The sequence below is a fragment of the Homo sapiens genome, chromosome 16 (genome assembly GCF_000001405.40).
Source record: "Homo sapiens chromosome 16, GRCh38.p14 Primary Assembly".
Lineage (NCBI taxonomy): Eukaryota > Metazoa > Chordata > Mammalia > Primates > Hominidae > Homo > Homo sapiens.
The window spans coordinates 1,969,942-1,996,923 of record NC_000016.10 but is presented as its reverse complement, the minus strand read 5'-3'; the positions used below and the strand labels follow the sequence as shown (position 1 = coordinate 1,996,923).

General features: G+C 61.5%; 4 protein-coding genes across 7 annotated transcripts, besides 21 other annotated features; 1 reads left to right on the top strand and 3 right to left on the bottom strand.

The window, feature by feature from the left end:
* On the bottom strand, nucleotides 2,649-6,954 carry SYNGR3 (synaptogyrin 3). Its single transcript, NM_004209.6, has 4 exons — nucleotides 6,723-6,954; nucleotides 4,713-4,950; nucleotides 4,146-4,288; nucleotides 2,649-4,061 (listed from the first exon to the last, which is right to left on the bottom strand). The coding sequence occupies exons 1-4, from the start codon at nucleotides 6,819-6,821 to the stop codon at nucleotides 3,852-3,854; spliced, it is 690 nt and encodes a 229-aa protein (NP_004200.2). The 5' UTR covers nucleotides 6,822-6,954; the 3' UTR covers nucleotides 2,649-3,851.
* Nucleotides 3,363-3,940: an enhancer, noted in NCBI's record as "H3K27ac-H3K4me1 hESC enhancer chr16:2042985-2043562 (GRCh37/hg19 assembly coordinates)". NCBI's record gives its function as "activates a minimal SCP1, AML or CMV promoter by ChIP-STARR-seq in primed H9 embryonic stem cells {active_cell/tissue: H9 hESC(primed)}" and the evidence as "EXISTENCE:reporter gene assay evidence [ECO:0000049][PMID:30033119]".
* Nucleotides 4,323-4,692: a silencer, noted in NCBI's record as "silent region_7018". NCBI's record gives its function as "represses an Ori minimal core promoter by ATAC-STARR-seq in GM12878 lymphoblastoid cells {active_cell/tissue: GM12878}" and the evidence as "EXISTENCE:reporter gene assay evidence [ECO:0000049][PMID:35858748]".
* Nucleotides 4,323-5,098: a biological region, named in NCBI's record as "H3K27ac-H3K4me1 hESC enhancer GRCh37_chr16:2041827-2042404".
* Nucleotides 4,521-5,098: an enhancer, noted in NCBI's record as "H3K27ac-H3K4me1 hESC enhancer chr16:2041827-2042404 (GRCh37/hg19 assembly coordinates)". NCBI's record gives its function as "activates a minimal SCP1, AML or CMV promoter by ChIP-STARR-seq in naive H9 embryonic stem cells {active_cell/tissue: H9 hESC(naive)}" and the evidence as "EXISTENCE:reporter gene assay evidence [ECO:0000049][PMID:30033119]".
* Nucleotides 5,415-5,494: a silencer, noted in NCBI's record as "silent region_7017". NCBI's record gives its function as "represses an Ori minimal core promoter by ATAC-STARR-seq in GM12878 lymphoblastoid cells {active_cell/tissue: GM12878}" and the evidence as "EXISTENCE:reporter gene assay evidence [ECO:0000049][PMID:35858748]".
* Nucleotides 6,535-6,654: a silencer, noted in NCBI's record as "silent region_7016". NCBI's record gives its function as "represses an Ori minimal core promoter by ATAC-STARR-seq in GM12878 lymphoblastoid cells {active_cell/tissue: GM12878}" and the evidence as "EXISTENCE:reporter gene assay evidence [ECO:0000049][PMID:35858748]".
* Nucleotides 6,735-6,824: a silencer, noted in NCBI's record as "silent region_7015". NCBI's record gives its function as "represses an Ori minimal core promoter by ATAC-STARR-seq in GM12878 lymphoblastoid cells {active_cell/tissue: GM12878}" and the evidence as "EXISTENCE:reporter gene assay evidence [ECO:0000049][PMID:35858748]".
* Nucleotides 7,417-7,996: an enhancer, noted in NCBI's record as "H3K4me1 hESC enhancer chr16:2038929-2039508 (GRCh37/hg19 assembly coordinates)". NCBI's record gives its function as "activates a minimal SCP1, AML or CMV promoter by ChIP-STARR-seq in primed H9 embryonic stem cells {active_cell/tissue: H9 hESC(primed)}" and the evidence as "EXISTENCE:reporter gene assay evidence [ECO:0000049][PMID:30033119]".
* GFER (growth factor, augmenter of liver regeneration) lies at nucleotides 9,175-12,731 on the bottom strand. Its single transcript, NM_005262.3, has 3 exons — nucleotides 12,448-12,731; nucleotides 11,981-12,177; nucleotides 9,175-11,058 (listed from the first exon to the last, which is right to left on the bottom strand). The coding sequence occupies exons 1-3, from the start codon at nucleotides 12,703-12,705 to the stop codon at nucleotides 10,896-10,898; spliced, it is 618 nt and encodes a 205-aa protein (NP_005253.3). The 5' UTR covers nucleotides 12,706-12,731; the 3' UTR covers nucleotides 9,175-10,895.
* Nucleotides 12,440-12,979: a silencer, noted in NCBI's record as "silent region_7014". NCBI's record gives its function as "represses an Ori minimal core promoter by ATAC-STARR-seq in GM12878 lymphoblastoid cells {active_cell/tissue: GM12878}" and the evidence as "EXISTENCE:reporter gene assay evidence [ECO:0000049][PMID:35858748]".
* Nucleotides 13,995-24,871, bottom strand: TBL3 (transducin beta like 3). Its single transcript, NM_006453.3, has 22 exons — nucleotides 24,719-24,871; nucleotides 22,817-22,868; nucleotides 22,632-22,727; nucleotides 22,501-22,548; nucleotides 22,245-22,386; nucleotides 22,077-22,161; nucleotides 21,826-21,996; nucleotides 21,662-21,737; nucleotides 21,486-21,579; nucleotides 21,214-21,395; nucleotides 20,975-21,116; nucleotides 20,810-20,868; nucleotides 20,610-20,713; nucleotides 19,963-20,110; nucleotides 19,640-19,870; nucleotides 19,498-19,568; nucleotides 19,254-19,410; nucleotides 19,124-19,182; nucleotides 18,863-18,966; nucleotides 18,704-18,775; nucleotides 18,453-18,611; nucleotides 13,995-18,372 (listed from the first exon to the last, which is right to left on the bottom strand). The coding sequence occupies exons 1-22, from the start codon at nucleotides 24,757-24,759 to the stop codon at nucleotides 18,239-18,241; spliced, it is 2,427 nt and encodes an 808-aa protein (NP_006444.2). The 5' UTR covers nucleotides 24,760-24,871; the 3' UTR covers nucleotides 13,995-18,238.
* Nucleotides 14,000-14,192: a silencer, noted in NCBI's record as "fragment chr16:2032733-2032925 (GRCh37/hg19 assembly coordinates)". NCBI's record gives its function as "represses an EF-1alpha promoter that drives an FKBP-Casp9 reporter gene in an ReSE screen in K562 erythroleukemia cells {active_cell/tissue: K562}" and the evidence as "EXISTENCE:reporter gene assay evidence [ECO:0000049][PMID:32094911]".
* NOXO1 (NADPH oxidase organizer 1) lies at nucleotides 15,455-18,007 on the top strand. 4 transcript variants are annotated; one of them, NM_144603.4, is made up of 8 exons: nucleotides 15,455-15,810; nucleotides 15,905-15,985; nucleotides 16,196-16,268; nucleotides 16,380-16,557; nucleotides 16,743-16,927; nucleotides 17,021-17,134; nucleotides 17,382-17,499; nucleotides 17,575-18,007. In NM_144603.4, the coding sequence occupies exons 1-8, from the start codon at nucleotides 15,745-15,747 to the stop codon at nucleotides 17,870-17,872; spliced, it is 1,113 nt and encodes a 370-aa protein (NP_653204.1). In that variant the 5' UTR covers nucleotides 15,455-15,744; the 3' UTR covers nucleotides 17,873-18,007. The 4 variants fall into 4 exon arrangements, with proteins under 4 accessions (NP_653204.1, NP_001254650.1, NP_751907.1 ...); NM_001267721.2 differs by having other exon boundaries at nucleotides 16,196-16,283; NM_172167.3 differs by having other exon boundaries at nucleotides 16,193-16,268.
* Nucleotides 15,479-15,538: an enhancer, noted in NCBI's record as "active region_10250". NCBI's record gives its function as "activates an Ori minimal core promoter by ATAC-STARR-seq in GM12878 lymphoblastoid cells {active_cell/tissue: GM12878}" and the evidence as "EXISTENCE:reporter gene assay evidence [ECO:0000049][PMID:35858748]".
* Nucleotides 16,015-16,594: an enhancer, noted in NCBI's record as "H3K27ac-H3K4me1 hESC enhancer chr16:2030331-2030910 (GRCh37/hg19 assembly coordinates)". NCBI's record gives its function as "activates a minimal SCP1, AML or CMV promoter by ChIP-STARR-seq in naive H9 embryonic stem cells {active_cell/tissue: H9 hESC(naive)}" and the evidence as "EXISTENCE:reporter gene assay evidence [ECO:0000049][PMID:30033119]".
* Nucleotides 16,015-17,172: a biological region, named in NCBI's record as "H3K27ac-H3K4me1 hESC enhancers GRCh37_chr16:2029753-2030330 and GRCh37_chr16:2030331-2030910".
* Nucleotides 16,402-16,696: a silencer, noted in NCBI's record as "tiled region #200; K562 Repressive non-DNase unmatched - State 14:Gen5'". NCBI's record gives its function as "represses a minimal TATA promoter and a strong SV40 promoter by Sharpr-MPRA in K562 cells {active_cell/tissue: K562}" and the evidence as "EXISTENCE:reporter gene assay evidence [ECO:0000049][PMID:27701403]".
* Nucleotides 16,595-17,172: an enhancer, noted in NCBI's record as "H3K27ac-H3K4me1 hESC enhancer chr16:2029753-2030330 (GRCh37/hg19 assembly coordinates)". NCBI's record gives its function as "activates a minimal SCP1, AML or CMV promoter by ChIP-STARR-seq in naive H9 embryonic stem cells {active_cell/tissue: H9 hESC(naive)}" and the evidence as "EXISTENCE:reporter gene assay evidence [ECO:0000049][PMID:30033119]".
* Nucleotides 17,173-17,752: an enhancer, noted in NCBI's record as "H3K27ac-H3K4me1 hESC enhancer chr16:2029173-2029752 (GRCh37/hg19 assembly coordinates)". NCBI's record gives its function as "activates a minimal SCP1, AML or CMV promoter by ChIP-STARR-seq in naive H9 embryonic stem cells {active_cell/tissue: H9 hESC(naive)}" and the evidence as "EXISTENCE:reporter gene assay evidence [ECO:0000049][PMID:30033119]".
* Nucleotides 17,489-17,608: a silencer, noted in NCBI's record as "silent region_7013". NCBI's record gives its function as "represses an Ori minimal core promoter by ATAC-STARR-seq in GM12878 lymphoblastoid cells {active_cell/tissue: GM12878}" and the evidence as "EXISTENCE:reporter gene assay evidence [ECO:0000049][PMID:35858748]".
* Nucleotides 17,753-18,332: an enhancer, noted in NCBI's record as "H3K27ac-H3K4me1 hESC enhancer chr16:2028593-2029172 (GRCh37/hg19 assembly coordinates)". NCBI's record gives its function as "activates a minimal SCP1, AML or CMV promoter by ChIP-STARR-seq in primed H9 embryonic stem cells {active_cell/tissue: H9 hESC(primed)}" and the evidence as "EXISTENCE:reporter gene assay evidence [ECO:0000049][PMID:30033119]".
* Nucleotides 18,333-18,912: an enhancer, noted in NCBI's record as "H3K27ac-H3K4me1 hESC enhancer chr16:2028013-2028592 (GRCh37/hg19 assembly coordinates)". NCBI's record gives its function as "activates a minimal SCP1, AML or CMV promoter by ChIP-STARR-seq in primed H9 embryonic stem cells {active_cell/tissue: H9 hESC(primed)}" and the evidence as "EXISTENCE:reporter gene assay evidence [ECO:0000049][PMID:30033119]".
* Nucleotides 24,546-24,685: an enhancer, noted in NCBI's record as "active region_10249". NCBI's record gives its function as "activates an Ori minimal core promoter by ATAC-STARR-seq in GM12878 lymphoblastoid cells {active_cell/tissue: GM12878}" and the evidence as "EXISTENCE:reporter gene assay evidence [ECO:0000049][PMID:35858748]".
* Nucleotides 24,746-25,085: an enhancer, noted in NCBI's record as "active region_10248". NCBI's record gives its function as "activates an Ori minimal core promoter by ATAC-STARR-seq in GM12878 lymphoblastoid cells {active_cell/tissue: GM12878}" and the evidence as "EXISTENCE:reporter gene assay evidence [ECO:0000049][PMID:35858748]".

The following is a 26,982-nucleotide window of genomic DNA, read 5'->3' as shown; positions in this document are numbered from 1 at the left end:
GCGCCACCATGCCCAGCTGATATTTTTTGTAGAGAAGGGGTCTTGCTATGTTGCCAAGGCTCGCCTTGACCTCCTGGGCTCCAACAATCCTCCTGCCTCGGCCTCTCAAAGTGCCAGGTTACAGGAATGAGCCACTGTGTTCGGCTAAAAATGACTTTTGTTTTGAGAGGGAGATTCGCTCTTCTTGCCCGGGCTGGAGTGCGAAAGCGTGATCTCGGCTCACCACAACGTCCGCCTCCCGGGTTCAAGCGATTCTGTCTCAGCCTCCCGAGTAGCTGGGACTACAGGCATACGCCACCATGCCTGGCTAATTTTTTGTACTTTTAGTAGAGATGGGGTTTCTCCATGTTGGTCAGGCTGGTCTGGAACTCCCAACCTCAGGTGATCCACCCACCTCGGCCTCCCAAAGTGTTGGGATTACAGGCATGAGCCACCGCCCCTGGCTAAAAAATGACTTCTTAAAGAAGGAGCAAGAGCTAGAGGAATATGGGGCAACACTTGAGTGGCAGTTGCTGTGACAAGCACTGCTGCAAGCTCCACACCCCTCACCACAGTAATTGTCACCCTCCCACGCCACAGGAACCACGATGGCCCTTTTACAGAAGGAGAACCTGAGGCACAGACAGGTTGAGAGACTTACCCAGGATGACTGAGCTAGAAAGGGGCAAAGCCAGCATTTTGGCTCCAGAGATGGTTCTTAGCTGTGCTTCATTCAACCAGGAAGTTATGAAAAAAAAAACAGTTAGAAATCCTAGGAATGAGGTTGGGTGCAGTCGCTCATGCCTGTAATCCTAGCACTTTGGGAGGCTGAGGCAGGTGGATAACCTGAGGTCAAGAGTTCGAGACCAGCCTGGCCAACATGGTGAAACCCCATCTCTACTAAAAATACAAAAAATGAGCCAGGTGTAGTGGTGCATGCCTGTAATCCCAGCTACTTGGGAGGCTGAGACACAAGAATTACTTGAGCCTGGCAGGTGGAGGTTGCAGTGAGCTGAGATCTCACCACTGCACTCCAGTCTGGGTGACAGAGTGAGACTCTGTCTCAAAAATCCTAGGAATGAAAAAGTAATTGAGATAAAAACCCCAATAGATGGGTTCAAAAGTAAACCCAAGCTGGGGGATGTAACTGCAAAAGGTAGCAGTGAGAAGTGGGGAAGGGTGTGGCCATGGAAGGCCATGGAATAGGGACCTGGTACTGGAGGCTTCACGGCAAATCTTACAGGAGTCCCAGGAATAGAAGGTGGCGAGAAGAGGACATGCGAAAAACCGTGACTGCTCACCCCAACACCAAGAGAGAAAACAAACCATCAAGGACCAAACAGGATCAACGATAAGAAATTCTTATCTAGACAAGGATTTACAGAAAAGAACCCTACAAATCATTACCAACAAGATCACTTACAAACAATGCAAATGGTACCATTAGCATCACTCTCATCAGCGTTATAGAATGCTAGAACATAAGAGTGAAATCATCAGGGTCGGACGCGGTGGCTTATGCCTGAAATCCCAGCATTTTAGGAGACCAAGGTGGGAGGATCACTTGAGCTCAGGAGTTCAAGACCAGCCCAAGCAATATAAGGAGACTCCATCTCTACAAAAAACTTTAAAATTAGCTGGGCATGGTGGCACATGCCTGTGGTCCCAGCTACTCAGGAGGCTGAGCAGGGAGGATCACATGAGCCCAGGAGGTGGATGTTGCAGCCAGCCAGAGGTTAAAGTAAGCCAAGATTTTGCCACTGCACTCTAGCCTAGGCATTTATTTATTTATTTATTTATTTATCCCTCAAAAAAACAAACAAAAAAAAAAACAGGTTCACTCTAGGCCCGTTGTGGTGGCTCACGCCTGTAATCCCAGCGCTTTGGGAGGCCGAGGTGGGTGGATCACCTGAGGTCGGGAGTTTGAGACCAGCCTGACCAACATGGAGAAACCTCATCTCTACTAAAAATACAAAATTATCCGGGCATGGTGGTGCATGCCTGTAATCCCAGCTACTTGGGAGGCTGAGGCAGGAGAATCACTTGAACCTGGGAGGCAGAGGTTGCGGTTAGCCGGGATCACGCCATTGCACTCCAGCCTGGGCAATAAGAGTGAAACTCCGTCTTAAAAAAAAAAACAAAAAAAAAACAGGCCGGGCGCTGTGGCTCATGCCTATAATCCCAGCACTTTGAGAGACACCAAGGTGGGTGGATCACTTGAGGTGAGGAGTTTGAGACCAGCCTGGCCACCATGGCAAAACCCTGTCTCTACTAAAAATACAAAAATTAGCCAGGCGTGGTGGCGGGCACCTGTAATCCCAGCTACTCTGGAGGCTGAGGCAGGAGAATTGCTTGAACCCGGGAGGCAGAGGTTGCAGTGAGCCGAGATTGCACGACTGCACTCCAGCTTGGGCGACAGAGTGAACCTCCATCTCAAAAACAAAAACAAAAACAAACAAACAAAAAAAACAAGGGGTCTCGCAGCATTTCAGAGAACCAGACTAGTGGGATACGTGGTGGTGGGGACCTATGGACCTGGAGCCCCCAGAGCCTGGGGGTCAGCCTGGCCTCTACCTCCCCGTCCCCTCCTGTGGGGCCCTGGTGCCTCTCAGATACCAATCCCTGGCACCAGAAGGGAAGGGGTAGAAATGATTCCAGGAGCGTCCAGGTCACAGTCAGCTCAGTTACAGTCTTTATTGTAAAGAAGGTGCAGTCGGAACATGGGACACTGAAAATACACAATCTCTGGTCTTTCAGGAGAGGGAGAGAGTGATATATACAAAAATTGTAAACATGTTCACTTAAATATCCACACAGAATTGGTCTAGGCTACAATGTAACAAGGTTGTCACTCAACTGCATCTCCAGAGGGAGGTGTCTGTCTGATGAAATGTGGCAACCACGTTTGGTGTTGACTTAATGTGAAAAGCCAGCTTTGAGCAATGCATGAGTAGTCAGCTATGCAGAGGGACTCCAACCTGGGACTGGGCCAGGAAGCAGGGTGCAGGTGGAGAGGCAGGGACTGGGCCAGGAAGCCAAGGTAAAGGGAACCACACAGGGGCCATCTTGTGGGGCACGGTGGCCAGCTGGAGCCTCTGGGCCTCTCTCCTGCTGAGGGGCTTGTCTTGCCTGGCACCCAGGCATCCTTCTCCTCTCCTGGCAAGGTCTTACTGAAGGGCTAGGACAGGGCTGGTGTCTTGGCCCACAGCTACCTTGTGCCTTCCTGGCCAGAACCACCCACACCTGGGCAGGGGCCGGGGCCACAGAGAGAGGAGCAGCTTGTGGAGTACTAGGAGGTGAAACCCGAAGACTGGACCATGATCACAACACTGACAGGGCTGGGCTGTTCTAGCAGCCTGTGAGAGAAAGTGGAGAGTGGCTCCGGACGGGACGCACCACCATGACAGAAACGAGACAGTCACTACCCACAGGGACATGGGATGGGAACAGTGGCCAGGATCCCCAGTCTTGGGGCGAGGGTGGTGTCTTTCCCCTGCCCCCGCTTTGTCCTGGGCAGCCCCTGCACCTGATCGTAGAGGGCAGCTGGACCCCCAACCCCAGAGTGAGCAGGTGTGGCCCAAGAGGGGAAAGCCTTCCCCAGGCCAGTCCATTCCAGGCTAGGGACACACGTCCTGGGCAGTGCTATCCCCTTCTCAGGACCTCAGTCCTGGGGCCAGGTGCTGAGGGACTGGGGGAACTTGGCAGGGGCAGCCCAGACACGCGGGTCCACCCCCTCTTGGCCCCGGATGGCGCAAAGCGGCCACCTACTCTGTCCGCGGCACTGAGCTGGAAGGACCCAAGGGAGGTCCCGGAGACCCTGGGGCCTGCGTTGGTGGGGTGGCCTTGGAGCCCTGGTCTGTGCCTGCCAGCCGCTAGTAGGCGGGCACCTGGTACCCTTTGGGGCTGGTGTCCAGGGTCTCGGTGAAGGGCGGGCTCTGGTAGGTCTCGGTGCCCTCCACGCCGCTGCCCACCGGATAGCCGGGGTAGGCCTGGCTCGCCCCGGTGCTCAGCTGTTCGGTGGCGAAGAGTGACATGTCGGTGCCCAGGCGGAACCGCTGCAGGGCCTTCACGGTGAGCGCCACCTGCGCGGGGCGGGGTCAGCGGGGTCAGCCGGGATCAGCCGAGCGCCCGCCCCTTCGCCCCGCCCTCCCGGGCCCCGCACTCACCCAGCTGAGGATGGAGAAGAAGCTGAAGGCGATGGCGGCCCGCGCCGCGTCCCCCGCCTGCGTCGTGGCCGGCCCTGGCGCCGTGCGCTGCCACTGATTGGTGAGGAAGCAGAAGCCCACGAACCACAGGAAGGACCAGAGTCCTGCGAACAGTGCGGCGCGTCAGGGCGACGCTCCACGCGGTGGCCCACGGCGGCCTCGCCCGGAGGAGGAAAGGTCGGTGGGCCCGAGGCTTGGGGCGCCTCGCCTGGGCTCGCCGCGTGGCGCGAGGTCCCGCCTCCCTCTCCTGCGCTGACCCCGCCCACCCGGGAGCGCCAGACCCGTTCCGCGCCCAGGCTCCGCCCAGACCCGGGCCCCGCCTACCTAGAAAGTCCCGCGGCGCTCCCCGTCCAGGCTCCGCCCCCTCCCCGCCCACCCGGGAGGCCCATTGACACTCCCTGCCTCAGTCCCCGCCCCTCGTCACGGCCACGCCCAGCTGGAAACTCCAGCGGTGTTCCCCGCCCAGGCCCCGCCCCCTCCCCGCCCACCCGGAAGGCTCTCCGCGCTCACCGCCCCGGCCCCGCCCACCTGAGAAGCCCAGGTCCAGCAACACCGCGCGCCGGCGGTCGCGGACGCTGCTGATTTGCTGGAAGCGCACATCGAGCAGCAGGAAGGCGGCGCAGGCGAGGAAGGCTCCGAGGCCCAGCGCGACGCCGAAGCGGCAGGCGCCCGCGTTCCCGTTGAACACGCAGCGCAGCTCGGGGCCGCTGTCGGTGTTCACGTAGCCCTCGTTGACGATGGGCCCGAAGACGGCGATGGAGAACACCTGCGTGCGGCGCGGCGCTCAGGGCCCTGCGGCGACCCGACCTCTGCGAGCCCGCCTCGAGCGCCCACGCCCCTGGGCCTGTCCCTGCGTTCCCAGGCCCGTATCTGGGTGGGGGGCGGTGTCACCTCTTTCTTTCCCGAACCCTCGCGTATTTAGTAATTATTGACAACACGGGCCGTTTAGTGAGCATCTACTATGCCCAGACATTGTGTTAAACAGCCACTTTACATGCGTCCCCTCACCAAATCCTCAGAAAGTCCCCGTGGGATCGCCATTGTTCTTATTCTCTTTATAAATGCGGGGGACATTGGGACCCCAACAGGTGAAGTGACTTGTCCGGGATCACATGGCTGACAAAAGCCGGGGTTGATTCAAGCCAGGTACTCTGCACCGCGTGGGCCCGTGGAGTCCCCTCAGAGCCCACTCAAGAGTGTGGGAACAGGAGCCTTCACCTGGGCCCGCGATTCCCAGGCTGGAGCCGGAACGGCGAAGGGGAGGTGAGAGTGCAGCAGGCAGAGCGGGGCGGGAGGGAGGGTATGGAGGCAGCGGAGCTGTTGCTTCCTGCGCGGTTGGGAACTGTCTGGCCTGTTTTCTAGCATGCAAATAGGGTGACGGGCACAGCTCATGCAGTGCTGGGACAGACATGTCCACCCAGCTTCCTGCACGTGGTGGGTACCCGAGGGATGACAGCCCCCACGTGACTGATTATTAATATCACCTGTAAGTGTTTGGGCTGAAAAGATGACACCGTTGACCTCTGAGGTTCCGTCAAACCTCAATGCCTCCTGCCCACCAGTTCCGGGAGACAGGCATGAGGGGGACCGCAGTCATTTTAACCAGCGCTGCACGGGGCAGCCCTGTGTTTCCAAGAAACGACCTCCAGCCTCAACCTCATCCCTTCGCTCCTTTCCCGCTCCAGCTCCGAGAGTGGAGCCAAGGGGGAAGCCGGGACATGCACTTGTCCCCAAGAGTGGGCCACAAGTCGGGACGTGCGCTCGGACCAAAACGCAGCGTCCTGCCTCCCGGTCTGGTCAGAGCCACTCCGCAGGGGAGGCCAAAGCCCCTGCCCCACCGTGGGCACCGCCCTCCTCCAAGACAGGCGCCGAGGTGCGGCTGGCCCAGAGGTTGCCACCTGGACAAAACCCAGAGCTCGGCACCCAACTGCCACCTCCCCTGCCGGAGGGAAGGAGCAGCAGGGCCCTCCCAGGGACGCCCCAGTGGGCTAGGCTGCTCCCAAACCTGCCTTCCACACCGCCGCCAGGAAGCCCTCCCAGCCCAGAGCCTCTCCTCCCTCAACTCACAGCTGGAACTGGGGGCCAGGGGACAGGCTCCCTGCCAAGGAGACCCGAGGGTGTGTGTGCGGGGGAAGGGGAGGCGCTTCTCGGTTCCCGTAGCCCCCTCCTGCCCCTCGGAGAATTCCGTCCCCACCCCGTCCCTGCTTCCAGGTCACGAGAACAGGAAAAACGGAGTAAGGGCTGCGGAAAGGGACTGAAATTAGACCCGGGGAGGAGGTAGGGGTAGAGGCGACCGGCGGTGACCTCTCAAGGTCCCTCTCCGGCGCCGCCGGCCCCTCCTCCGCCCGCAGGTGGGCGCGCCCTGCCCGGTGACGTCACCCCAACCTGAGGCCGGCGGGGGAGGGGCCGGCGAGGATGAGAGTGAGTGAGGTCGGGGGGCGAGAAGCAGGGGGCAGGGGGTAGGGGGCAGGGGGCTGGTAGGGGCCTGAAGGTCGCGAGGCAGGGGCGGGAGCGGGGGCCCGGGCAGGGACCACTCACCCAGGACGCGACCCGGAGCAGGGTCTGGGGCCGCCGCGCAAAGCTCACGGGGTCCAGGGCGGCCCCTGCGCGGCCCGCGCCGAAGGAGGCGCCCTCCATGGCCGGCCCGGGCGGGACGCGCGCCCCTGGCGCCTTCTGTCCGCCTGTCCGTCCGGCCGGCCCCGCCCGAGGCCGCTGCCGCTGCCGCTGATGCTGATGCTGATGCTACCAACGCTGCAGCCGCTGCCGCCTCCCGGGAGCGCGCGCCGGCCGCGGCGGGGACGCGCGGGACGGGGCGGGGCCGCGCCCGCGCCCCCCACTGGGTCCATGCGCGCGGGGCCGGGTCCCTCCTCTCCCTCCGCCGCGCCCACCTCCCATCCCCCACCCTCACCTGCCTGCCCCGGTCCCGAGATGGAGACCATCCTCAGGAACCCACCAGCCAGGTCCCCGGGGGCAGGGTGGGGCTCGGGTGCTGGGCGCAGACTTTGCTAGAGCCGGGAGGACAGACAGGAGGAGTCCGCTCCTCTGGGAAGGGCACTTGGGTGAGGGAGTAAAGGGGTAGGAGGTCCACGGGCTGCAGCATCTTCCCCCAACCCACGGGAGAGGGGACCGGCTCCCTGGCCCTGGTCCCAAGAAGACCAGATGGATAACTGGGGTCTTTCTCATGGCCCCCCACTGTGCTCTAGCTGCTATCACAGCTTCTAGCCTCTGGCGGGGAGGATCTGGTGGGAAGAAAGGCGTTGGCCCCAGGAGCACCTGTTGAGGGAGGGGACAGAGCCACCGTGGCCAGCGCCGCTGGGAGTGTTGGTTTCGGTGTCTCCGCTCCTTGCCCGTGGCCAGGTGGTGGTGCTCCCAATGCCCTCCCTACTCCTGGGTCTCCCCAGCGTACTTGCGGCGCCTAGTCTGGAATGGAGGGCAGGGAGCGGCATCAGAGACTAGGAGTCGGGTGGGGGTGGTGCCTGGCTGCCCTGTGTCCCGCTGAGTCCCCTCCACAGACCCCAGCCTTGGGTGCAACAAGGTCCCTCTCCTCATGTTCCTAGCAGGCTGGAAGTTCAGATGACTCCTAGGTTTCTGTCTAGAGCACTGAGATGTCTGCACTGACATTTACAGCGCCAAGCGCTTGACCTGTGTAGTGGCGGAGACTGTTACCACCCTGTACTTCAGATAATAAGCAACCCAGGTCCCTGCTACACGAGCCGGGTGCACAGATGGTGCTGCGTGGCCCAGCCCCCCTGGAGCTCATTCTTCAGCCTTGCTGGGCACAGGTGGGCAGAGCAGGTGTTGCCAGAGGCGCTACTCACTGTGTTCCAAGTCCATCACACTGTGCGTCCGATCACAACCCCTCTCACCTGTTGGCCACAGACCTCCCCTCTGTGTCATTCATTCTCTACTTCATCACTAACATCAGCACCCAGACATGCTGCACTTTCTCCTAAAAGCCAAACACTGTTGACCCCACCTCCCCTCCAGCTGCCTTACGTTACTGCTTCCTTTAGCAGCAAACTCTGCCTGCAACACCCTCCTCTCTCTCCCTCTGACCCGGCAGAATCAGCTCCCACCGCCACCTAAACTCAAGGTTGCCACTGACCTCTCCGTGCCAATCCCAAGGGCAAGTCTGATGCTGCTGTCGACTCATTTATTTCTTTAGTTATTTATTTATTTTTTGAGTTACAGTCGCACTCTGTTACCCAGGCTGGAGTGCAGTGGCGCAATCTTGGCTCACTGCAAGCTTTGCCTCAGGGGCTCAAGTGATTCTCCTACCTCAGCCACTGGAGTAGCTGGGATTCCAGGTGTGCCACCGCACCCAGCTAATTTTTTTTTTTTTTTTTTTTGTATTTTTAGTAGAGACGGGGTTTCGCCATGTTGACCAGGCTGGTCTCGAACTCCTGACTTCAAGTGATCTGCCCACCTTGGTTTCCCAAAGTGCTGGGATTACAGGCGTGAGCCACTATGCCCCTCCTGGAGGTCCTCCTCCCTCATGGGTCCTTCCTCTGTGACCTGTGAGCCTTAGGAGCCCAGGGCGCGATCCTGGGGAGGTCTCTCCCTCTGTGCTAACTCCTTTGGTCTGCGTGTCAACAGCTCTGGAACACCAGCTCAAGCCAGAACTTTTCCTTGCACTAGAGTTCCACTGGCCTGGATGCCTTCAAAAACAGACTCTGGCCTGGCGCAGTGGCTCACGCTTGTAATCTCAGCACCTTGGGAAGCTGAGGTGGGTGGTTCATGAGGTCAGGAGTTCAAGACCAGCCTGGCCAACACAGTGAAACCCTGTCTCTACTAAAAATACAAAAATTAGCAGGGGGTGGTGGTGGGCGCCTGTGATCCCAGCTGCTCGGGAGGCTGAGGCAGGAGAAATTGCTTGAACCCGGGAGATGGAGGTTGCAGTGAGCCGAGACTGCTCCACTGCACTCCAGCCTGGGCGACAGAGCTAGACTCTGTCTCAGAAAAACAAAACAACAACAAAAAGAAAAACAGATTCTAAGGCAAAGTGAAGTTTTATTCAGGAGTGAAACTTTAAGGAAGACAGGGAAAAAGGGAAGGCGGTGGGGGGGGCAGGGGGGCAGGGGAGGGACAGCAGATACAGGCGGTATGTTCCTAAGCTGAACACAGCCTTCCCAGAGGGCCCAGCTGCTTCCTGAGGCACTCACAGGCCTCGGGAAAGGCCAGAGAGAAGCGCGCTGTGTCTGGGCGAGGAAGGGACACCTCCTCTCCTGGCTGCCCCCCATCTCCCCTCTCTTATTTGTGCCACCTGGCCCCTCTGGGCAGCCTCTACAGAAGCCAGCAGCCGCACGGGGCCAATCTGGTGGGGACATAGCAGCTCCCTCCATGGAGGCCTGAGGCGGCCATGCCAAGGTGGGCCTGCGCCCAGGGAAAGGCTGAGACTCCTGGAGGATAGAGGTCCCTGGAGTTTTATGACCACAGGACACACTGTTGCTGGGCTGCTCTGGCTGGGGAGGCCCAAAGGCTGGGTCCCAGTCACCCCCCACCTTGCTGCACTCAGCCTTCTCCATCTCTGACCCACACGGCGGCTCCCAGCAGTCTCCTCGGACTCCATCCTCACCCCATGAGTTCTCTGGCTCTCCCTTTAACGTACCCCGCATCTGTCCCCGCCGTGGGGTGGGTCTTCCTCTTGGTGGTCACTCGGTGACTGCCCCGGCTTCCTCCCCACCCCTCCTGTTCCACCCTTACCTGCCTCATCCCAGCTCAGCAGCCAGAGGACCCTTCAAAGCCACATCACTCCATGCCATCCCCTGGCTCCAAACCCGCCAAGAACTTCCTGTCAGGGGAACTAGGGGTAGAAGCCATGGCTTTGCTGGGGCCTTGGAGACCTCGTGCCGTCTGGCCTCCCAGTACTCCTACATCAGCTACTCTGGCCCCCCTGCCCCAACCAATCAACGTCCTTGCTGTTCCTGGCTCACTCTCACCCTGTGGTCTCTCTCTCCTGAGGAACCAGGACCCCAGCAGGAAATGCAGCTGAGCACAGAGGGATGGAACAAGCCCTGTCTACTGCTTTATTAAGCCCCAGCAGAAAATATACTGAAGCCAGGTTCTCAGTCACTTCAGCGTTTCATTTGGGCTTCAAACTCTGATGAAGTGAGCCCCACGAATCCCCTGTGGACAGGCATGACACAACGCTGGCAGGCATGTGCCAGGCAGGGAGAGGGTAGGATGGCTGGTGGACCCTCAGAAAGACCCGACCTGAGCTTTCCCTGTAGGGACTGAGCAGAGTGGAGAATTGAGCCCCCTAAAGTGAGCAGCACAGAGCCATGGGGGGCAGGGGCATCCCTGGCTGCATAGTGGGAAGGCAATGGCCTGGCCGCCAGGGACAGGCACAGGGATGCCCAGCCAGGCCCGCTGTCTTCCCGTGTGAGGAGTGAGGCGCCAGGGTATGCGGTGGGCAGGAAGCTACATCCTGAATGTCAAGGGGCAGCCCAGGCTGCTCCTCCTTCCCTCCCCTGCAGTTCAGCTGCAGCTCCTTGGGGTCTCCACTGAGGAGGGGGCCAGTGGGTACCTGCTGTGGGCACCTCCACTTCTGCTCCAAACCTAAGAGGGGCAGGGCAGGTCCCCACAGGCAGTGTCCTGGGGACCACCCAACTGAGACACAACAGGCTCTGGCTGTGATGCACTTTAATGAGTGCCCTGCCCCTATCCAACCATGCCTGGCTAGCTGTCCCATGAGCTCTGGCTGACCACCCTCTAGTCACAGGAGCCATCCTTCCAGCCGTCGCGCCAGCGCTCATCCACTTTTGAGCAGTCGAAGTCAGGCTTGCCCAGCTTGCGGTTCACTTCATTGTGCAGGTGGCACAGCCACTGTGTGAAGCATGCCCGGGTGCGGGTGTCTGGGTGGTTCCTGCACAGCCTGTGTAGGGAGAGCAGGTAAAGAATGAGAGGACGCAGCGGCTCCACTGCCCCTGCCAGTTCCCTGTCTGCTGTCAAGGAAGGAGAGCTGGGGCACTGCTGTGAACTACACCTGGGAGTGCCCTTATGCTCCAAGGTACAGGCACTCCCAGAACAGGGCTGACCCTGCAGCTCCCCGGGTGTGATGAACTCCCAGGGCTGCGCAAACACCCACCTGGACAGCTTGGCAAACTCCAACGAGGCCTCAAGGCAACACATTACAGCACAGACCTGGCAATTTTATAAGCTCCTAACACCCAGGAAGCGGCATCCAGTGTCCCTGGCCTCAGGCAGAGTGTGGCCTGGGTGGGGCTGGGCACAGCCTTGTAACTGAAAACTGGACTTGTTTCTTAGCATCTGAGGGCAGGCCCTGGTGCGTCAGTTCAGCAAGAGACTTCATTCTAACTGACCAGCCTTATAGCAACAATGGCGGCTCTACCCTATACATCTGGCCTAGAAACACCTGCAAGGGCCAGTGCTGGCTCTTGGATCCCTCAGTGAGGAAGAGATGGCTCTTGGGAGCAAAAGCAGTGGATTTCCAAGATTTTAAAACCAGAAGTCCTACTCTAGAAGTCAGGCAAAGTGGAGTCTTCCCTAACTTGCGGGAAACCGCCTTCAGTGCCAGACAAGGCAGGGAATCCCTTCCTGGAAGCCCTGTGGCTGTGGCAGGAGCAGTACCCAGCAGCAGATCCCGACAGCTTGGCTTCTGAGACGAGAGGAGGAGGCTCAGATAGCCCCAGTCCTCACCTGTTGGAGGTCCCTGCTCCTCAGCAAACTTCTGCCACCTCTGCATCCGTTTCTCTACGTTCCCCGCTATAACGTCAGCCAGGAGCCCCAGGCCCAGGCTCCAGTGCAAAGCTCTGCTGCGTGCAAACACATCTTACCTTTTTCTTAGGTCTTCAGCACACTCCTCACAGGGGTAAAACTTAGAAAATAAATGTATGAACTGGGCCATGTCTTGCTGCTGTTCTGGGGTGGGCAGGTCGGGGTAGTAGGCGGCCAGGGTGTGGAGGACAGCCCAGCTGTGGCGGCCCAGTTCCTCGCGATCCGGCGGGCAGTCCTCCCTAAACTTGGTGTCCCGCTGCGGAAGCAGGCCGACCGAGAGTGAGTTCATTCTCCGAACAAAGGCGCCCAAAGCTCCCCACTGTACGGCCCAGCCGGTGGCCCACTGGACTCCGGCCAAAGTCCTGCAGACGATCCAACCCACGCGCGGATGAAGGCTGTAAGGCCGGGCCTACCCGGGGGGCAAGGTTCAGGGACAGGCAACCCTGGGAAGCTCTGCCGGGGTACCTGGGCGGGGGCGGGGACAGGGGCTGCGCGGGGCTGGGAGAAATCGGGCAGGGAACTGCACCTTCTGCTGCGTCCGCATCCACGTCTTGAAGTCGACGCAGGCCCGGCACGGCCGCCTCCGGGAGGCGTCCTCGGCGACAGGAGAATCGGAGGTCGGCGCCTGGGCTGGCGTCGAGGCCGAGGCGGCCGCGTCTCTCCGCCCCGCGCCCCGGCCCCGCGCGTCGGTCGCCAGGTCGTCCATCATCTCGGAGCGCGCGCCCCCCGGCAGGAAGAAGAGGTTCCCGCCGTGGAAGCGGCCCCGCTCGCCGGGCGCCGCCATGTTGCCCGCGCAAGGCCTGCCGGGTCAGCTCGGCCTCCAGATGAGCCTCCAGGTCAGCCTCCAGGCCAGCGCGCGGCCACAGGAGCCGGAGGCGCGCGCCGTGCTCGCGGGGGCCGGGCCCGAGCCGGGGCTGGGGGCAGAGTCGGGGGCGGTGCCTGCTTGCGGGCCCGTGTGGAGGCGGAGCCAGAGGCCGCGGCGCTGGCCGGGCCCGAGGACAGGGGCGGGGACGGAGCAGGAGGGTCGGACCCTGCTGGCGCCCTCAGGCGTCGATCCGCGGCGCACGCAGGGGTTGCGCCGTCCGTGGCGGCCGTCCCGCTTTCTCCAGTAAAAGAGCAGTGTGTGGCGCAAGGTGCGCCTCGGCCGCGCTGTGGACCCGAGCTGACACCCAGGCAAAGTCCGTGTTGCGGCCCGCGACGTCCCCATCGCTCCGTTCTGAGTGTCCTGCGTGCCTGCGGCCAGGCTTTGTGCCCTCCGCTGAGGGGCGCGTCCACCCGCTGGCTGCCAAGCGCTCTCTCAACGCGGGCCGGGCGTGACCGCACAGATTGCGGCGCGCGCTAGGGTCCTGGGCTCTTGTCCCCTCCCTGGCGCCATGGCAACGGGCGTCTGGCAACGCAGGGCGCGGCGCGGCCGCAGAGGGTTGGCGCGTGCCTTGGGCTCCCTGGCGCCCCTCGCCGGCTGTCGCGGATCCTAGAGCCTGGGATGAGGGGTCGGGCTCCCGGTTGGAGCGGCCTCTGGGATTCCTGTGCCTCCTTGCGTTCATTTATCCATTCCGCTATTATTTGCGCAGTGACCGCTCTGTTCCAAGCGCTGTTCCAAGTGCTGGGCAGAGCAGGGAACACAATTCTGTTCCCTGACCTTCTCTGTTCATAATCCAGTGGTCAAGACAGGAAAAAAAAACAAGGACTCACACTCATAAATGTTCACGTACAAACTGGTGGGTCCATGCAAGGGTGTAGTAAATCTGGAAGGCCTCCTTGAGGAGGTGACCCTTTCTGAAGGATGAGGAATCAGCTGAGGAGCGCCTTCGAGACCAAGCCCAAGGTGGCAGGGTCTTGGCATTTTGCAGGAACAAAAACGCCAGTGGGACGCTAGGGAGGGTTGTAAGGTGGGAGGGGAGATCCAGGGACGGACAGGGGCCCACCAAAGACTTGGTCGGCAGCTTCGGGGATTGGGAATTTATTATAACGGTAGGAGGGAAGATGCTAGACAGTTTTGGGCAAGGTTACCCAATCTGATCCCATTTCAGTTTGCTGCAGATTCCGCTGGCTATCATATGGGGAGTGGATTTCTTTTTTTTTTTTGAGACAGGGTCTTGTTCCGTTACCCAGGGTGGAGTGCAGTGGCGCGATCTTGTTCACTGCAGCCGCGACTGCTTAGGCTCAAGTGATCTCCCACCTCAGCCTCCCAAGTAGACTACAGGCACACGCCACCACGCCCAGCTAATTTTTGTATTTTTGGGGGGCACAGATGGAGGTCTCAACATGTTGCCCAGACTGGTCTCGAACTCCTGAGCTCAAGCAATCCCCCTGCCTCGGCCTCCCAAAGTACTTGGATTACAGGTGAGGCACTGTGTCTGTCCTTGGAGTGGATTTTGTAGGGGCAAGTGAGGAGCATACAGATGGAGGGTGGGGTGTACTATTCAGGCAAGAAAAGAGGGTAGGGGAGGAAAAAGTGGAAACCATGCAGGGCTGATGGGGTGTGGGGCAGGAGCTGTCAGCTGGGGTAGGCAGGTGGCCTCAGAATCCCTCTAGGCCTCTGCTTGTGAATAAATCCTCCCCAGCTTCTCCTGTCTTCCAGGGGAGCAAGGTCTCCCCTGGGTTCACACGCTGGACCCCACCAGGTCAGCTGGGCCCTCAGCTGAGACAGGGAGAAGGTGACAGCTGGCTGGGGGAACCCTGCAAATCAGCCCTATGTGAGCAGGTGTTCATTGCCCATGCCAAGACCAGGGACAGCTTGAGGGCATGAGAGAGAGTGCTGGTGGGACAGACACACAAAGGCCCTTTGTTGCAGCCAGGGCAGCTTCCTGGAGGGATGCCTTAGAGGCTGACTGCTCCCTGAAGGGGCTGGAGTAGGTGCATCCCAACACAGAACTGGTGGCCCCAGCACGAGGAAAAACCACTGTGTGCCAGGGTTGAATGTGGCTTCCGAAGCCCGAACTATAAGGAAGCAGCCAGAGAGGTGGGGCACCTGGGCGAGCCTCTGCCCAGGCCATGTTTGCAGTAAGTCATGGCAAATCGTGAATTGAGAGGTGGTTCTCAAAACAGCCCTAGTGACCACTTCCCTGACCACCACCCCCACCCACCAAATGCCAGTGACTGCACAGATGGGCCCTCTTTCTCCTACCCCAAGTCTCCTCACTGCAGGGGAACCCCTGGGGTGAGCCTGTGAGGTCTGCCCCTCCCCCAGCATGTATAGAACAGCTCACAATAATTACGCATTTAACACACATTTCCTCCTCTATGAGTTGGGGACATTAAGAGACCTTTCCTCCAGCATTAGGATTAAGTCAGACAAAGCACTTAAAGCTGTAAGCACTGAGTCCTTGGTTCTGCACAGAAATCCCCAGGCCAGTTCAAAGTTGTTGGGCGCACCCTGGCAGGGCAATTACCTCACAGGGTAGGGGAATCCAGAGAGGTGGGCAGGACAGGTGGCGCTTTGATTAGCCCTGCCTTCTCCTCCCTCCTCCTGTGGCCAGAGGCAGGCAGGAGGGCCCCAGGCAGCAGTCCCGCCTACCCTTCGCCCCTTCTTCAGTCTTGCACGCCTCCAGGGCTGGAAAGCTCATTCTTCTTCTTCCTCCCAGCAGCTCTGCCTGGAAGTCCCCCAATCCCTGTGCTCCTGCCCCCAGATCGTGGGCTTGGGGGACAGCAAGAAAGCTGCAAAGGACTCAGCTGGGGCGGCTCCACAAGGACCCCACAGGCTTGAGGTGTTGCCAGGATTCTATCCCAGGGGGTTTTCTGGGTCCCCCAGAGCCCTCTCAAGCACGGGGAGGCAGAAGGGTCCTCGCCCATTTCAGGAATCTGCAGCCTGGAAGCCACAGCCATGGCAGGCCCCCGATACCCAGTTTCAGTGCAAGGGGCAGCCCTGGTGCAGATCAAGAGGCTCCAAGTAAGACCTGGCTGGGTCCTTAGTGGCCCCAAGGGATAGGAAGGGGGTGCCTGGACCAGCACCTCCACGGCACTCCCAACTTTTTGTCCCCCAGACGTTTGCCTTCTCTGTGCGCTGGTCAGACGGCAGCGACACCTTCGTGCGCAGGAGTTGGGACGAATTCAGGCAGCTCAAGGTGAGTGACCCTGGGCCACCCTGATGCCGCGGTGGCGGCTTCCCCACGCGGCTGCCTCCCACTGGACTGCCTCCCATCAGTGACTCCCACTGGAGGCCCTTCGTCCCTGCTGAAGCTCCCAGCCCCTGCCATCCGGGTGAGGGACCCCGCCCTCTCAAGGGTGCACAGTGGGCTCTGGAAGACCAATGCCCTGGTTCCCGCCCTCAGAAGACCCTCAAGGAGACCTTCCCGGTGGAGGCGGGCCTGCTGCGGAGATCTGACCGCGTTCTCCCAAAGCTTCTCGGTCAGGCCAGCCTGGGTACGGGAGCGGGGAAGGCGGTGGCTTGCCTGGGGGCGCCAGGGACCAGTGAAGCCCAAAGCGGCGTATCACAGTACGTTTTTGTGGTGCCTTAAGATGCACCACTGTTGGGACGCGTGGGGCGCACGAGCCGCGGCCTGGCGCGCCTGCAGCTGTTGGAAACCTATTCTCGGAGGCTGCTGGCGACTGCAGAGCGCGTGGCACGGAGCCCGACGATCACTGGCTTCTTCGCACCGCAACCCCTGGACCTGGAGCCCGCGCTGCCACCCGGCAGGTGCCTGACTCGCCCCAAACTCCCAGCATGCAGCGGCGTTTGGAGCTGGGAGAGGTCCAGGGTGGGGGGGAACAGCCAGCGAATAGGGGCAGAGAGTGGGAGGCTGGCGGTCTTGCCGGGGTGGCGCCCCCAGTTTCACCCTCCCCATCCGCCTACCTCTCACTCGTACGGGCTGCCCTTCCCAGCCGGGTGATCCTGCCCACCCCAGAGGAGCAGCCTCTTTCTCGCGCTGCGGGCCGCCTCTCCATCCACAGTCTGGAGGCTCAGAGCCTGCGCTGCCTGCAGCCCTTCTGTACCCAGGACACGCGGGATAGGCCTTTTCAGGCGCAGGCCCAGGAGAGCCTGGACGTGCTGCTGCGGCACCCCTCAGGTAGGGCCCCCCAAGAACCCAGGGATTTGCTCCTCTGCTCCTGGACCCGAGGGAGCCTCGAGATTTGAGTCCCTGCCCGCTTCTTGCGCACAGGCTGGTGGCTGGTGGAGAACGAAGACCGGCAGACCGCCTGGTTTCCAGCGCCCTACCTGGAGGAGGCGGCCCCGGGCCAAGGCCGGGAGGGAGGCCCGTCCCTAGGGAGCAGCGGTATGCGCCTAACCCCACCCCTCACGCCACCACTGCGGCTTGACCGTGTGGCAAGACTGGGCCAGAAGCACCGCGGGCAGGGCGGGCCAGGAGCCCGTGCTTGGTCTCCGCACCTAGAGGAAGCCCCGAACCGGTCTTAGAGCGGCCCCGCCGTCAGCAGACTCAAGCAAGGAGAATGTGGAGAAGGGTGCGGGCGGGCCTCGTCCTCTGTGGCCCCGCGGTGACTCCAAACACCCACTCCCACCAGGTCCCCAGTTCTGTGCTTCCCGCGCCTACGAGAGCAGCCGCGCAGATGAGCTGTCCGTGCCCGCGGGGGCGCGCGTGCGCGTGTTGGAAACGTCAGACCGCGGCTGGTGGCTATGCAGGTACGCGGGAGCGGGCGTGGGCAGGGCAGGCTAGCCGAGGCGGGCGGGGCCCTAACCACACCCCGCCCCTCGCAGGTACGGCGACCGGGCGGGCCTACTCCCCGCGGTGCTGCTGCGGCCGGAAGGGCTGGGCGCTCTCCTGAGCGGGACGGGGTTCCGTGGAGGAGACGACCCGGCGGGTGAGGCCCGGGGCTTCCCTGAACCCTCCCAGGCCACCGCCCCTCCCCCCACCGTGCCCACCCGACCTTCGCCGGGCGCCATCCAGAGCCGCTGCTGCACCGTCACACGCAGGGCCCTGGAGCGGCGCCCACGGCGCCAGGGCCGCCCTCGAGGGTGCGTGGACTCTGTGCCGCACCCCACGACGGAGCAGTGAGCGCGAGGATCCCGATGAGGGGATGGACCGCGCCATCCCAGGGCTGGGGAGGAGCGGGGAGGGCGGATCTCCCTGGCCAGCAGGGATGGGAGGGGGCCATTTGCTGTTCCTCTGAGTAAAGCTTGTTCTGCATGACCCCCACCGTCTAAGCGTGCGGAGCCGCGGGCTGGATCTCTGCCAGGCCAGGGTGCGGGATGGGCGTGGCAGGGCCGAGACCATCAGCTCCAGTGCCCTTCTGGCTGGCTAGGTAGGGTGTTGGCCAGGGTGGGGGGCTGGACTGCAGTCCAGAGAGACAGAGCCGGCCAGGAGAGCGGCCTTTATGGGTTTTCCAGGGGTTCAGGATGGACTGGAGAGAGGCCGGACCGGCTAGGGCAGTGCGCCTTTATGGGTTTCCCAGGGGGTGGGGGCGGCGGCCGGCACAGGGAGCTTCATGTTGTGCCACAGGAAGTCCAAGAAAGCGGCGGCCTGGAGGGTCCTGCTGAGCCGCTGAAAGTGCCGCTCTGGGGTTGGACAGAGGGAGGTCAGGGGGGTGGTCCACACGCCCACCAGGATCCCCCAACCCCAGGCTGTGCCCACATACCAGTGTAGGGCAGCAGGGCCTCAAGCGCTGCCCGCACGCCTTCGTAGGCCAGCAGCTCCTCGGGGGCCTCTCGCCTCAAGAGCACACCCAGCACGGCCTGGGCCTCGTGGCAGTGCCGCGAGTTGGTGTTCCACGTGACGCAGAAGCGCAGCAGGGCCTCTGTGGGCAACAGGACCCTCATCGTCTTGCCCAGCCAATCTGCCATGACTGGCCCTTGCCCACCGGGCCACCCACCCTGACTGGCCGCCAACCTTTCTGGTCGCGCCGCAGTCGGAGCATGGTGGCTTCCAGCTTCTCGCAGGCCTCAGGGTCCCTCCGGATGGCTGTGGGAGAAGGGAAGGCTGAGCTGGGGAAAGCAGAGCCCAGTGGTCCGAAGACCCAGCCCCTCGCCCCCCGGGGTGGGCACTGACCCTGGATGACAGTCAGCACGGTGTGGGGCCGATCCAGGGAGATGGCCAGGCCCAGCGCCCGCAGGTACCGCTTCTCATGCAGCAGGTTGTCCAGCTCTTGCTGCCTGTGGGGAGGGGAGGAGAGGCCACTGAGGGCCGCTGGCTGGGGCTGCAGGCAGAGCCATCGGAGTCAGCAGGCAGGGAGCCTGGCACTCAGCCTCGTTTTCCCTACAGCACAGAGCAGGGCTGATGCGGGGAGGGGCGCCACTGCCCTGGCCTTACCTGACCACCTGCTCCTCTTGCCTGGCCTGCTCCTCTGCCTGCTCCGCCTCGGTCACATCCTGGGGTTAGACTAGGGTCAGATGGGGCCTCCACTCCACCCCGACTCTTCCCTGCCCTTGGGGCCCACAACCTTCCAGAGGATGACTCGGGAGTCACTGGCCCCAGTGAGGGCGTGGTCGTCCAGCCGGCTGCAGTGCAGCCCCCAGACCTTGTCCTCGTGGGCATCCAGCGTCCGCACACACTCGTTGTTCTTGATGGTCCAGAGCTTCACGAGGCCATCCGAACCGCTGGGTTTGGGGTGGGGAGAGGCTCAGCGTCAGGCAGGTCCCCCCGCCACCCCCCACTCCATCGCTGCCCCACCCCAGCCCACTCACCTGGACAGCAGCTGCGTGCCACGGCTCACAAAGGCCACCTTCAGCACAGAAGCATCGTGCCCCTCAAATGTCTGCAAGGTGGGGGGTAGGGCATGAGATGTCACCAGGGCGGGAAGTGGGGAGGGTCTGGAGCGCCACTTACCTTGAGACAGCTGAAGTCCTGGAGTGCCCAGAGCTTGATGGTGCCATCAGCTGAGGCCGTGGCCAGCACCTGGTCCATGGGAGAGAACTGGACGCACCAGAGGCCACGCCGGTGGCCTGAGAAGACACCCAGCAGCTGGCACTGTGGCAGGGCCCAGAGCTTGGCCGTGCGGTCCTGTGAGCCTGTGGCCAGCAGCTTGTCGTTGGGGGCAATAGCCACGCTGTTGATGTCCTGGCAATGGGAGAAGGTGGTGGCTCAGCAATCCCCCATCTTCCCCCAGCAAGGGCTTGGCCACACCCCCACCCCAGTGGCTATGGAGTCACCTTATCATGGCAGCGCTGAGTGGTCTGGGCCTGCAGGAGGATAGGGCCGTTGTCTGGGGCTGTGTTCTTGGACAGCAAGGCTTTGGGAAGAGGCCACAGCTTCACAGTGCAGTCCTGGCTGCCTGTCACCAGGAAGGACTCCTTCAGCCTGTGACCCAACAGGAGAGGAGGAGACACAGCTGAGCCCCAGCCAGCCCTGATGGCCAGCTCCCCACAGGGCCAGGCTGGGAGCCCACGGTCCAGACCACGGGGCCTGTCCCAGGATGCGGGTTGGCCTGGGTCACCCCCAGGCACCTGTAGGATCAAGCCCTGTCTACATTGTCCACCCGCAGCACCGGGTGGCTCAGCCCTAGCCACAGGACCCTGTGCCTACATGCAGGGGTCACCTCTCCACCTGGGCCTCGTGCAGGGTCATTCTCTCTGCCTAATGCCCTTCCCCCTTTAACCACTTCACCAGGGCTACTTCTGAGGACTGACCCCGAGGCACCTAGGGACTCTCCTGTCCTGTTCTGTTCCACATCTTTGGGCTGGAGCCTCAGAGCAAGCCAAAGCTGCCACTGCCTCCCCAGCTCCCTGAGCGGCAGCCCTGCTGGCAGGCCTGGGCCTCCACCTCCCTGACACCCCTGGGCCCAGCCCCGACTCACTACCTAGAGCAGCAGACGGTGCCCACACTGTGTGTGTGACCGGAACCCTGAGCCACGCACATCACCTGGCCAGCCTTGTTCATTCTCCAGATACGGACGCTCTGATCCTGGGGACAGGGAGTTGAGGAGAGAGGCTGGTCCATGGGCCTACTGCGTGGCCTCCCCGCCTGGTGCCCCTGCCCCTACCTCTCAGGGTGCCTCACCTTGGCACAGCTGGCAAAGAGCCACCCCTTCCGGAACACATCCAGGGCCAGGACGATATCTGAGATGTTGTGGGGAGGTATAGGTCACACAGCAAGACGGGGGAAGGGAAGCAAGCAAGGGACCGAGGCGGCTCCCAGGGTGTCAGGTGGGCTGGCCCCACTCACCCGTGTGGCCGTGGAGGATCTGGCAGGCTGACGTCTGCAGCTCAAACACTTTTAGGCAGGGGCTATTGGAGGCCACGACAACGTGGGAGTCCTCGGGCCCAAGAAACCGGACATCCAAAACCTCCTCACTGTAGCCAGCGAACTGCGGGGTGGCAGGGAGCAGGAGATGTGAGCCAGGACCTGTGTAAGAGGAGGGCTGGTGCCCGCAGCCTCCAGACTGAGCAAGGGCAGGTGTGCACCTGTTTCTGCAGCCGCAGGGAGCGAGCCTCGTAGAGCAACAGGTTGTGGTCGGCGGTGGCGGTGAGGACCACGCCGGCGGTGTGTGCCAGGGTGCAGTGGGTCAGCTCCTGCCCAGGGCCCGGCGGCTGGGCCTGCGTGTACACACACTGCCCAGAAGCTGCCTCCCACACGCGCAGAGTGCCTGTGTGGGTGGGGACAGGGCTGCTGAGACTCTCAGGTCCACAGGCCTTCCCCAGCCCCTACCGCCTGCCCATGTCCCGGCCCAACACACCTTGGTCGCCAGCTGTCAGAAAGTACAGCCCTGGGGACTTCACACCCAGCTGGGACACTGGCTCCTCTGGCAACAGCACAGCAGCCTCCACGCTCTGGAGACGAATTGGGTCACAGGCTGCTATCATGCCCCCTCCCCACCCAACTCAACCAGCCCTGGCCTCCAGGCATCCCCACCTCAAACACAGGCACGGTCCTCGTGGCCTGGCAGCTCTGAAGGTCCCAGATGATACATATCTTGTCACGGCCGGAGCTGAAGGAGCAACGGCAACCTCAGGTCAAGTCTTAGCCTCAGCCCCCACTTTCCAAGCCTCCCCCTCCTACCAGGGCCCACTGCTGACCTGAGCATGGTGTGGCCGTCGGCGCTGAAGGCCAGTGAGGTGACGGCGCTGTAGTGGGCAGTCAGCACAGCCAGGCATGACCGGTCCTGCAGTGACCACACGCGGATGGCGGCATCCGTGGCCGAGGAGAAGAGCAGCAGGCGTGTAGGGTCCGGGTGGAAGGCCACTAGGCTGTGGGCGGACGGGACAGGATGGGTGAGCTGTGCAGCCTGGGTGGTGCCTCTGCCCTCCCCCTCCACCTTCCAACTCACTGCACGACACCGGGCGAGCCTCGGAAGTGGTGTGTCCCGTAGTGCCGCACGATGTCCCAGACGCGCACGGCCCCATCACAGCCACCTGCGGGGAAGCAAGGTGAGGGGGTGGAATGCCCAAAGCCCCTGCATCTGTGCCCACGACCCACCTGCACGGCAGGGCCCTACCTGTGGCTAGCAGAGTGGAGGTGGGGTCGAAGGCCATGGTGGCCACGGGGGCCGTGTGTATCGCCTTCCACAGGCGGGTAACGCTGCCCTCTTGCCAGGCCCACTGAGCCAGCAGCAATGCCCGACTGGCTGTCACCAGCACCTGGGGGAGGGTACAGGTCAGCAGAGGGGCAGCAATACCCTGCTCACATCTTCCTGGACTCAGTCTGGGAGGGAGGCGCTGGAGCGGGTCCCCTCCAGGCCCCGCCCCACATACCTCGTTGTCAGGGCTGAGGTCAAAGGCAGTGATGTCCTCCTGGTCCTCCTAGGAGAAAGAGTGGTGTGCCGAGCACGGTGTGAGTGGGCTGCCCTCTCCACTTGCCCCTCACCCACCCAGGCTGCCCTCACCTGCTCCAGACTCCGCAGCACGGCCCCCGAGGCCACTTCCAGAATGTTGACTCTGGTGCCACAGACGCAGAAGAGGTGCTGGCCAGTCTGGTCCAGCTGGGGACAGAGAGGTCTCAGCCAGGCAACATTCAGCACCCCCCGCGGCCTCTGGCTGCCCGCCCCACTGCCCTTCCCCAGGCTGGTACCTGTGCTTTTCCGCCCTTGTAGAAAGGCTCAATTTTGCGCTCCACAGCATAGCTGGAAGGAGAGCGGGAGGCGAATGAGCACCACCCACCCCCTCAGTCCCCAGGGCCCCGCCCTGTGCTAGGTGCTCCTCTCCAAGTGACCCCAATGGCCCCTGCCCTTGAGTTTCTGGGCAACAGCAGGGACAGGGCATGGGGTGGAACCAGCAGTACTGCAGGGGGCTGTAGCTACCGTCGTCACTGAGAAGTAGAGACCCGCAGCTGGCTGGTGATCCCTGAGGCAGTAGGGGGTGGGCCTGTGTCAGGTGGAGTCAGCCCAACAGCCCAGGGCTTCCAGGGATTCCCCAGTGAGAGCCAGGGGGCTCCTTGGGAACACCCCTGCCGGCGGTGGGTGGCCAGGCCTGGGTAGCCAGCCCAGAGCACATCCTCCCAGTGTCTTCATCCCTGAGGTCTGGCATACCTCTTCCCCTCCCTGACTCCTCTCTCCATCCCCAGGCTTGCCCAGAGCCCGGGTCCCACGAGCAGCTGTCATTTCTGTGACCTCACTCGTGCCCCTTCTCCTTCCTTCTCCACTGCCTCCACCTGGTCCAGCCCATCACAGTCTCTGGCCAGCCACTCTGGCCTCTTCACTGGACCCCCTACCTACCTCTTTTTACTTATTTATTTTTTGAGAAGGGGTCTCGATCTGAGAAGGGGTCTCCAGCCCAGGCTGGAGTGCAGTGGCACGATCTCAGCTCACTGCAAGCTCCACCTCCCGGGTTCACGCCATTCTCCTGCCTCAGCCTCTCCGAGTAGCTGGGACTACAGGTGCCCGCCACTGCGCCCAGCTAATTTTTTGTATTTTTAGTAGAGACGGGGTTTCACCGTGGTCTCAATCTCCTGACCTCGTGATCCGCCCGCTTCGGCCTCCAAAAGCGCTGGGATTACAGGCGTGAGCCACCGCGCCCGGCCTCCCCTACCTACCTCTTAACCCTGCTGCCAGGTACCTTTCAGAACATAACTGAAGATGTCACTGCCCTGCGTTAGCCCCTCCCTTCTGCCCACACACCTCCCAGACCTTGCCCAGAAGAGCCTCTGCCACCCTTGCCTCTGCTTTCTTTCCTTCTCATGGCCCACAGTGCACCCCACTGCTCCTGTCCCAGCCTCTGGGACGGGTTTCCTATCTTCCCCCTATTCCCTGTACGCGGCCTGGGCTTCTCTTCCCAGATGTCAAGGCCTGGCTCACTGCGCTTCTGGAAGCCTGACTGCCAAAACGAAAGCGGCCCCTCAGCCCCCGCACCCAGTTGACCCTCCCACGACGGTGCTGCCAGCCTGGGACTTTCCTTTACCAGTGCTTGGCACAACCAAAGCCCCACAGCCGCCAGTGGAAACGATAATCCCATGAGGCTGCGCTGCCAGGGCGGGGGCACCAGCACTGCTGTTCGGCAAAGGCTTGGGGAGTGACGGGGCACAGCACTCAGGGCCTCCTGGGCTTCTGCGGACCCGCCCCTCTCCTGCATTCTCCCTGCTCCCTGGAGAAGACGGATCGCGGATGAAAGGTCCCCAGGCCGACTGCTCAGAGGTGGTTCTTCGCCCCCGCCGCCTCCCGGGACCAGCCCCGACCTAGGCTCAGCCCTCTCCTCCCCTCATCGGGACTTCTGGTCCCCACTCCACCCCATAGCCGGCTTCTCGATGAGCCCACGCTGCTGCTCCCGGCGGCCGGGCTCCGATCGCCGTCCTCCCCGAGAGCAGCCGGGGCCGGCTCTCCCGCCTAGTATCACCGCAGCCTCCGCGACCCCGCGGGCCGGCGCACACACAGCCTCTCGCCTCCACGGACCCCAATGCGTGCCCACCCCACGCGCGCCTCCGCTATGCCGGCTGCAAACCCAGCTCCCTCCCCGCACGGCCCCAGAGCTCCGGGCTCACTTGGTCTTGAAGCGGCCCACTCCGGCCGCGGTCTCTGCCATGTTGCCGCCGCCGCCGCTCCAGCTGAAACCTGCTAGGGTCCCGGCAGCCACCGCCGCGTGAGGGAGGTTAGCACCGAACTCTTCACAGAACGCCACACTCCCGGCGCGCTGCGATGGCGTCACCGCGCGCGACCACTGTGACGTCCCCGCCGGCGCCGCGCACTTGGCGCCATCTTTGCTTCGGGCAGTGGCGGCTGCATCGGGAAGCGGAAGCGGGCGGAGACGTTTCCGGCCTGGAGGGAGGGCCGTGAGCTGTGAGGGTGCTTCGCGGGTCGGTGGGGGTAGACCGGCGGATGTGGCATCGCTGGTGGCCTGGCTCTTTGATACCAGTATAAAAAGGCATTTGTAGCCAGCGTTTACTCCTGCTTTTCGGCGTTCTGGGATGTGGGGGTACCAGCTGTCGGGTGCGGTCCGTGCGTAGAGCCGTCAACCTGACCCTGCCCCTGGGCTCGCAGTGTGGCTCTTGATAAATAACGTAGGTAAATGAATAAACCGGGTAATCTCAAAGGCATTCATGTATTGAGCACCTTCTGTGTGCAAAGCACTGTAATCGGCACTTGGCGGACACCAGAGAAGAAACAGAACGGGCGACGAGTGATAGTTGCTGAGCGCGATGGAAAAAGGAGGAGGGCCGGGCGCGTTGGCTCACGCCAGTAGTCCCAGCACTTTGGGAGGCCGAGGCGGGTGGATCACCTGAGGTCGGAAGTTCGAGACCAGCCTGACCAACGTGGAGAAACCCCGTCTCTACTAAAAACAGAAAAAAAAAATTAGCTGGGCGTGGTGGCACATGCCTGTAATCCCAGCTACTTGGGAGGCTGAGGCAGGAGAATCGCTTGAACCCCGGAGGCGGAGGCTGCAGTGAGCTGAGATTGCGCCACTGGACTCCAGCCTGGGTGACAGCGTGAGACTCCGTCTCAGAAAAAAAGAAAGAAAGAAAGAAAAAAAAACAGAAGGGAGGGAGCGGAAGGGAGGAAGGAGGAGGCTGTATTGAGAAGGTGACGCCTGAGCAGACACAAGTTCGCGAAGCAGGGAGCCCTGTGGAACGAATGGTGTTGAGAACAGCCAGGGCACAGGCCTAGGACTGGGGGTGCCAAGCATTGAGTAGCAACAAGCCGGGTGGCTGCAGGGAGTGGGTGCAGAGGGCAGAGGGCATGCAGTTGCCTGTGCGCCGTGGCGAGGAGTTAGCTTTTACTCTGAGTTCAAGGTTTTGAGCCATTTGTGCTACTGGCTCTGAAGCTGGTAGAAAGTAACAGCCAGGCCGGGCGCGATGGCTCACGCCTGTAATCCTAGCACTTTGGGTGGCCGAGGCCGGTGGATCACGAGGTCAGGAGTTCGAGACCAGCCTGGCCAGCATGGTGAAACCCAGTCTCTGCTAAAAATACAAAAATTAGCCTGGTGTGGTGGCGGGTGCCTGTAATCCCAGCTACTCGGGAGGCTGAGGTAGGAGAATCGCTTGAACCCGGAGGCGGAGGTTGCAGTGAGCCAAGATCGCAACGTCACTGCACTCCAGCCTGGGCGATAGAGCAAGACTGTCTCAGAGAAAAAAAAAAAAGTAACTGGGCCAGTCTGGGCATCATGGCGAGACCCTGTCTCCACATACACACACACACACACAGAAAATTTAGTAGGGGTGGTGGTGTGCCTGTAGTCCCAGCTACTCTGGAGGCTGAGGTGAGAGGGCTGCTTGAGCCTGGGAAGCTGAGTTTCTAGTGAGCTGTGATTGGGCCTCTGCACTCCAGCCTGGGCAACAGAGACCCTATCTCAAAAAATAGAAAAGAAAAAAATGAAAAAACGAAAGTAACTGAGAAGGAGAACTGAGAAGTATGATCAGGGAAAATCTCTGAGAGGAGAGATATTTGAGGGAAAGAAAGTAGGCCATCATGGTGGCTCACACCTGTGATCCCAACACTTTGGAGGCAGGAGGATCACTTGAGCCCAGAAGTTTGAGACCAGTCTGGATAACACAGTGAAACCCCATCTCTAAAATAAACACAAAAATTAGCCGGCAGTCGTGGTGCGTGCCTGTAGTCCCAGCTACTCAGGAGGCTGAGGTGGGAGGATTGCTTGAGCCCAGGGAGGTTGAGGCTGCAGTGAGCCGTAATCACGTGACTGCACTCCAGCCTGGGTGCCAGAGCAAGACCCAGTCTCAAAAAAGAAGAAAAAGGTATTCTGTCTATGGAGTAGCCATTCTTGTATTCCCCTTATTTATTTATTTTTATTTAT

What these genes read in the sequence shown, in the direction of transcription:
- GFER (NM_005262.3), bottom strand. Translation starts at nt 12,705, where the DNA reads ATGGCGGCGCCCGGCGAGCGGGGCCGCTTCCACGGCGGGAACCTCTTC. An exon ending in GGATGCGGACGCAGCAGAAG is followed by an intron (nt 12,178 to 12,447) that starts GTGCAGTTCCCT and finishes CTGCTTCCGCAG; the next exon opens with CGGGACACCAAGTTTAGGGA. An exon ending in GCTGAAGACCTAAGAAAAAG is followed by an intron (nt 11,059 to 11,980) that starts GTAAGATGTGTT and finishes CTCCCTACACAG; the next exon opens with GCTGTGCAGGAACCACCCAG.
- SYNGR3 (NM_004209.6), bottom strand. Translation starts at nt 6,821, where the DNA reads ATGGAGGGCGCCTCCTTCGGCGCGGGCCGCGCAGGGGCCGCCCTGGAC. An exon ending in TGCTCCGGGTCGCGTCCTGG is followed by an intron (nt 4,951 to 6,722) that starts GTGAGTGGTCCC and finishes CGCCGCACGCAG; the next exon opens with GTGTTCTCCATCGCCGTCTT. An exon ending in GCTGGACCTGGGCTTCTCAG is followed by an intron (nt 4,289 to 4,712) that starts GTGGGCGGGGCC and finishes CACTGTTCGCAG; the next exon opens with GACTCTGGTCCTTCCTGTGG.
- TBL3 (NM_006453.3), bottom strand. Translation starts at nt 24,759, where the DNA reads ATGGCAGAGACCGCGGCCGGAGTGGGCCGCTTCAAGACCAA. An exon ending in GGCTCGCCCGGTGTCGTGCA is followed by an intron (nt 21,997 to 22,076) that starts GTGAGTTGGAAG and finishes GTCCGCCCACAG; the next exon opens with CCTAGTGGCCTTCCACCCGG. An exon ending in GGCACGCAGCTGCTGTCCAG is followed by an intron (nt 19,411 to 19,497) that starts GTGAGTGGGCTG and finishes CCCCAAACCCAG; the next exon opens with CGGTTCGGATGGCCTCGTGA.
- NOXO1 (NM_172168.3), top strand. Translation starts at nt 15,745, where the DNA reads ATGGCAGGCCCCCGATACCCAGTTTCAGTGCAAGGGGCAGCCCTGGTG. An exon ending in TGCAGATCAAGAGGCTCCAA is followed by an intron (nt 15,811 to 15,904) that starts GTAAGACCTGGC and finishes TTTGTCCCCCAG; the next exon opens with ACGTTTGCCTTCTCTGTGCG. An exon ending in CGCGGCTGGTGGCTATGCAG is followed by an intron (nt 17,500 to 17,574) that starts GTACGCGGGAGC and finishes CGCCCCTCGCAG; the next exon opens with GTACGGCGACCGGGCGGGCC.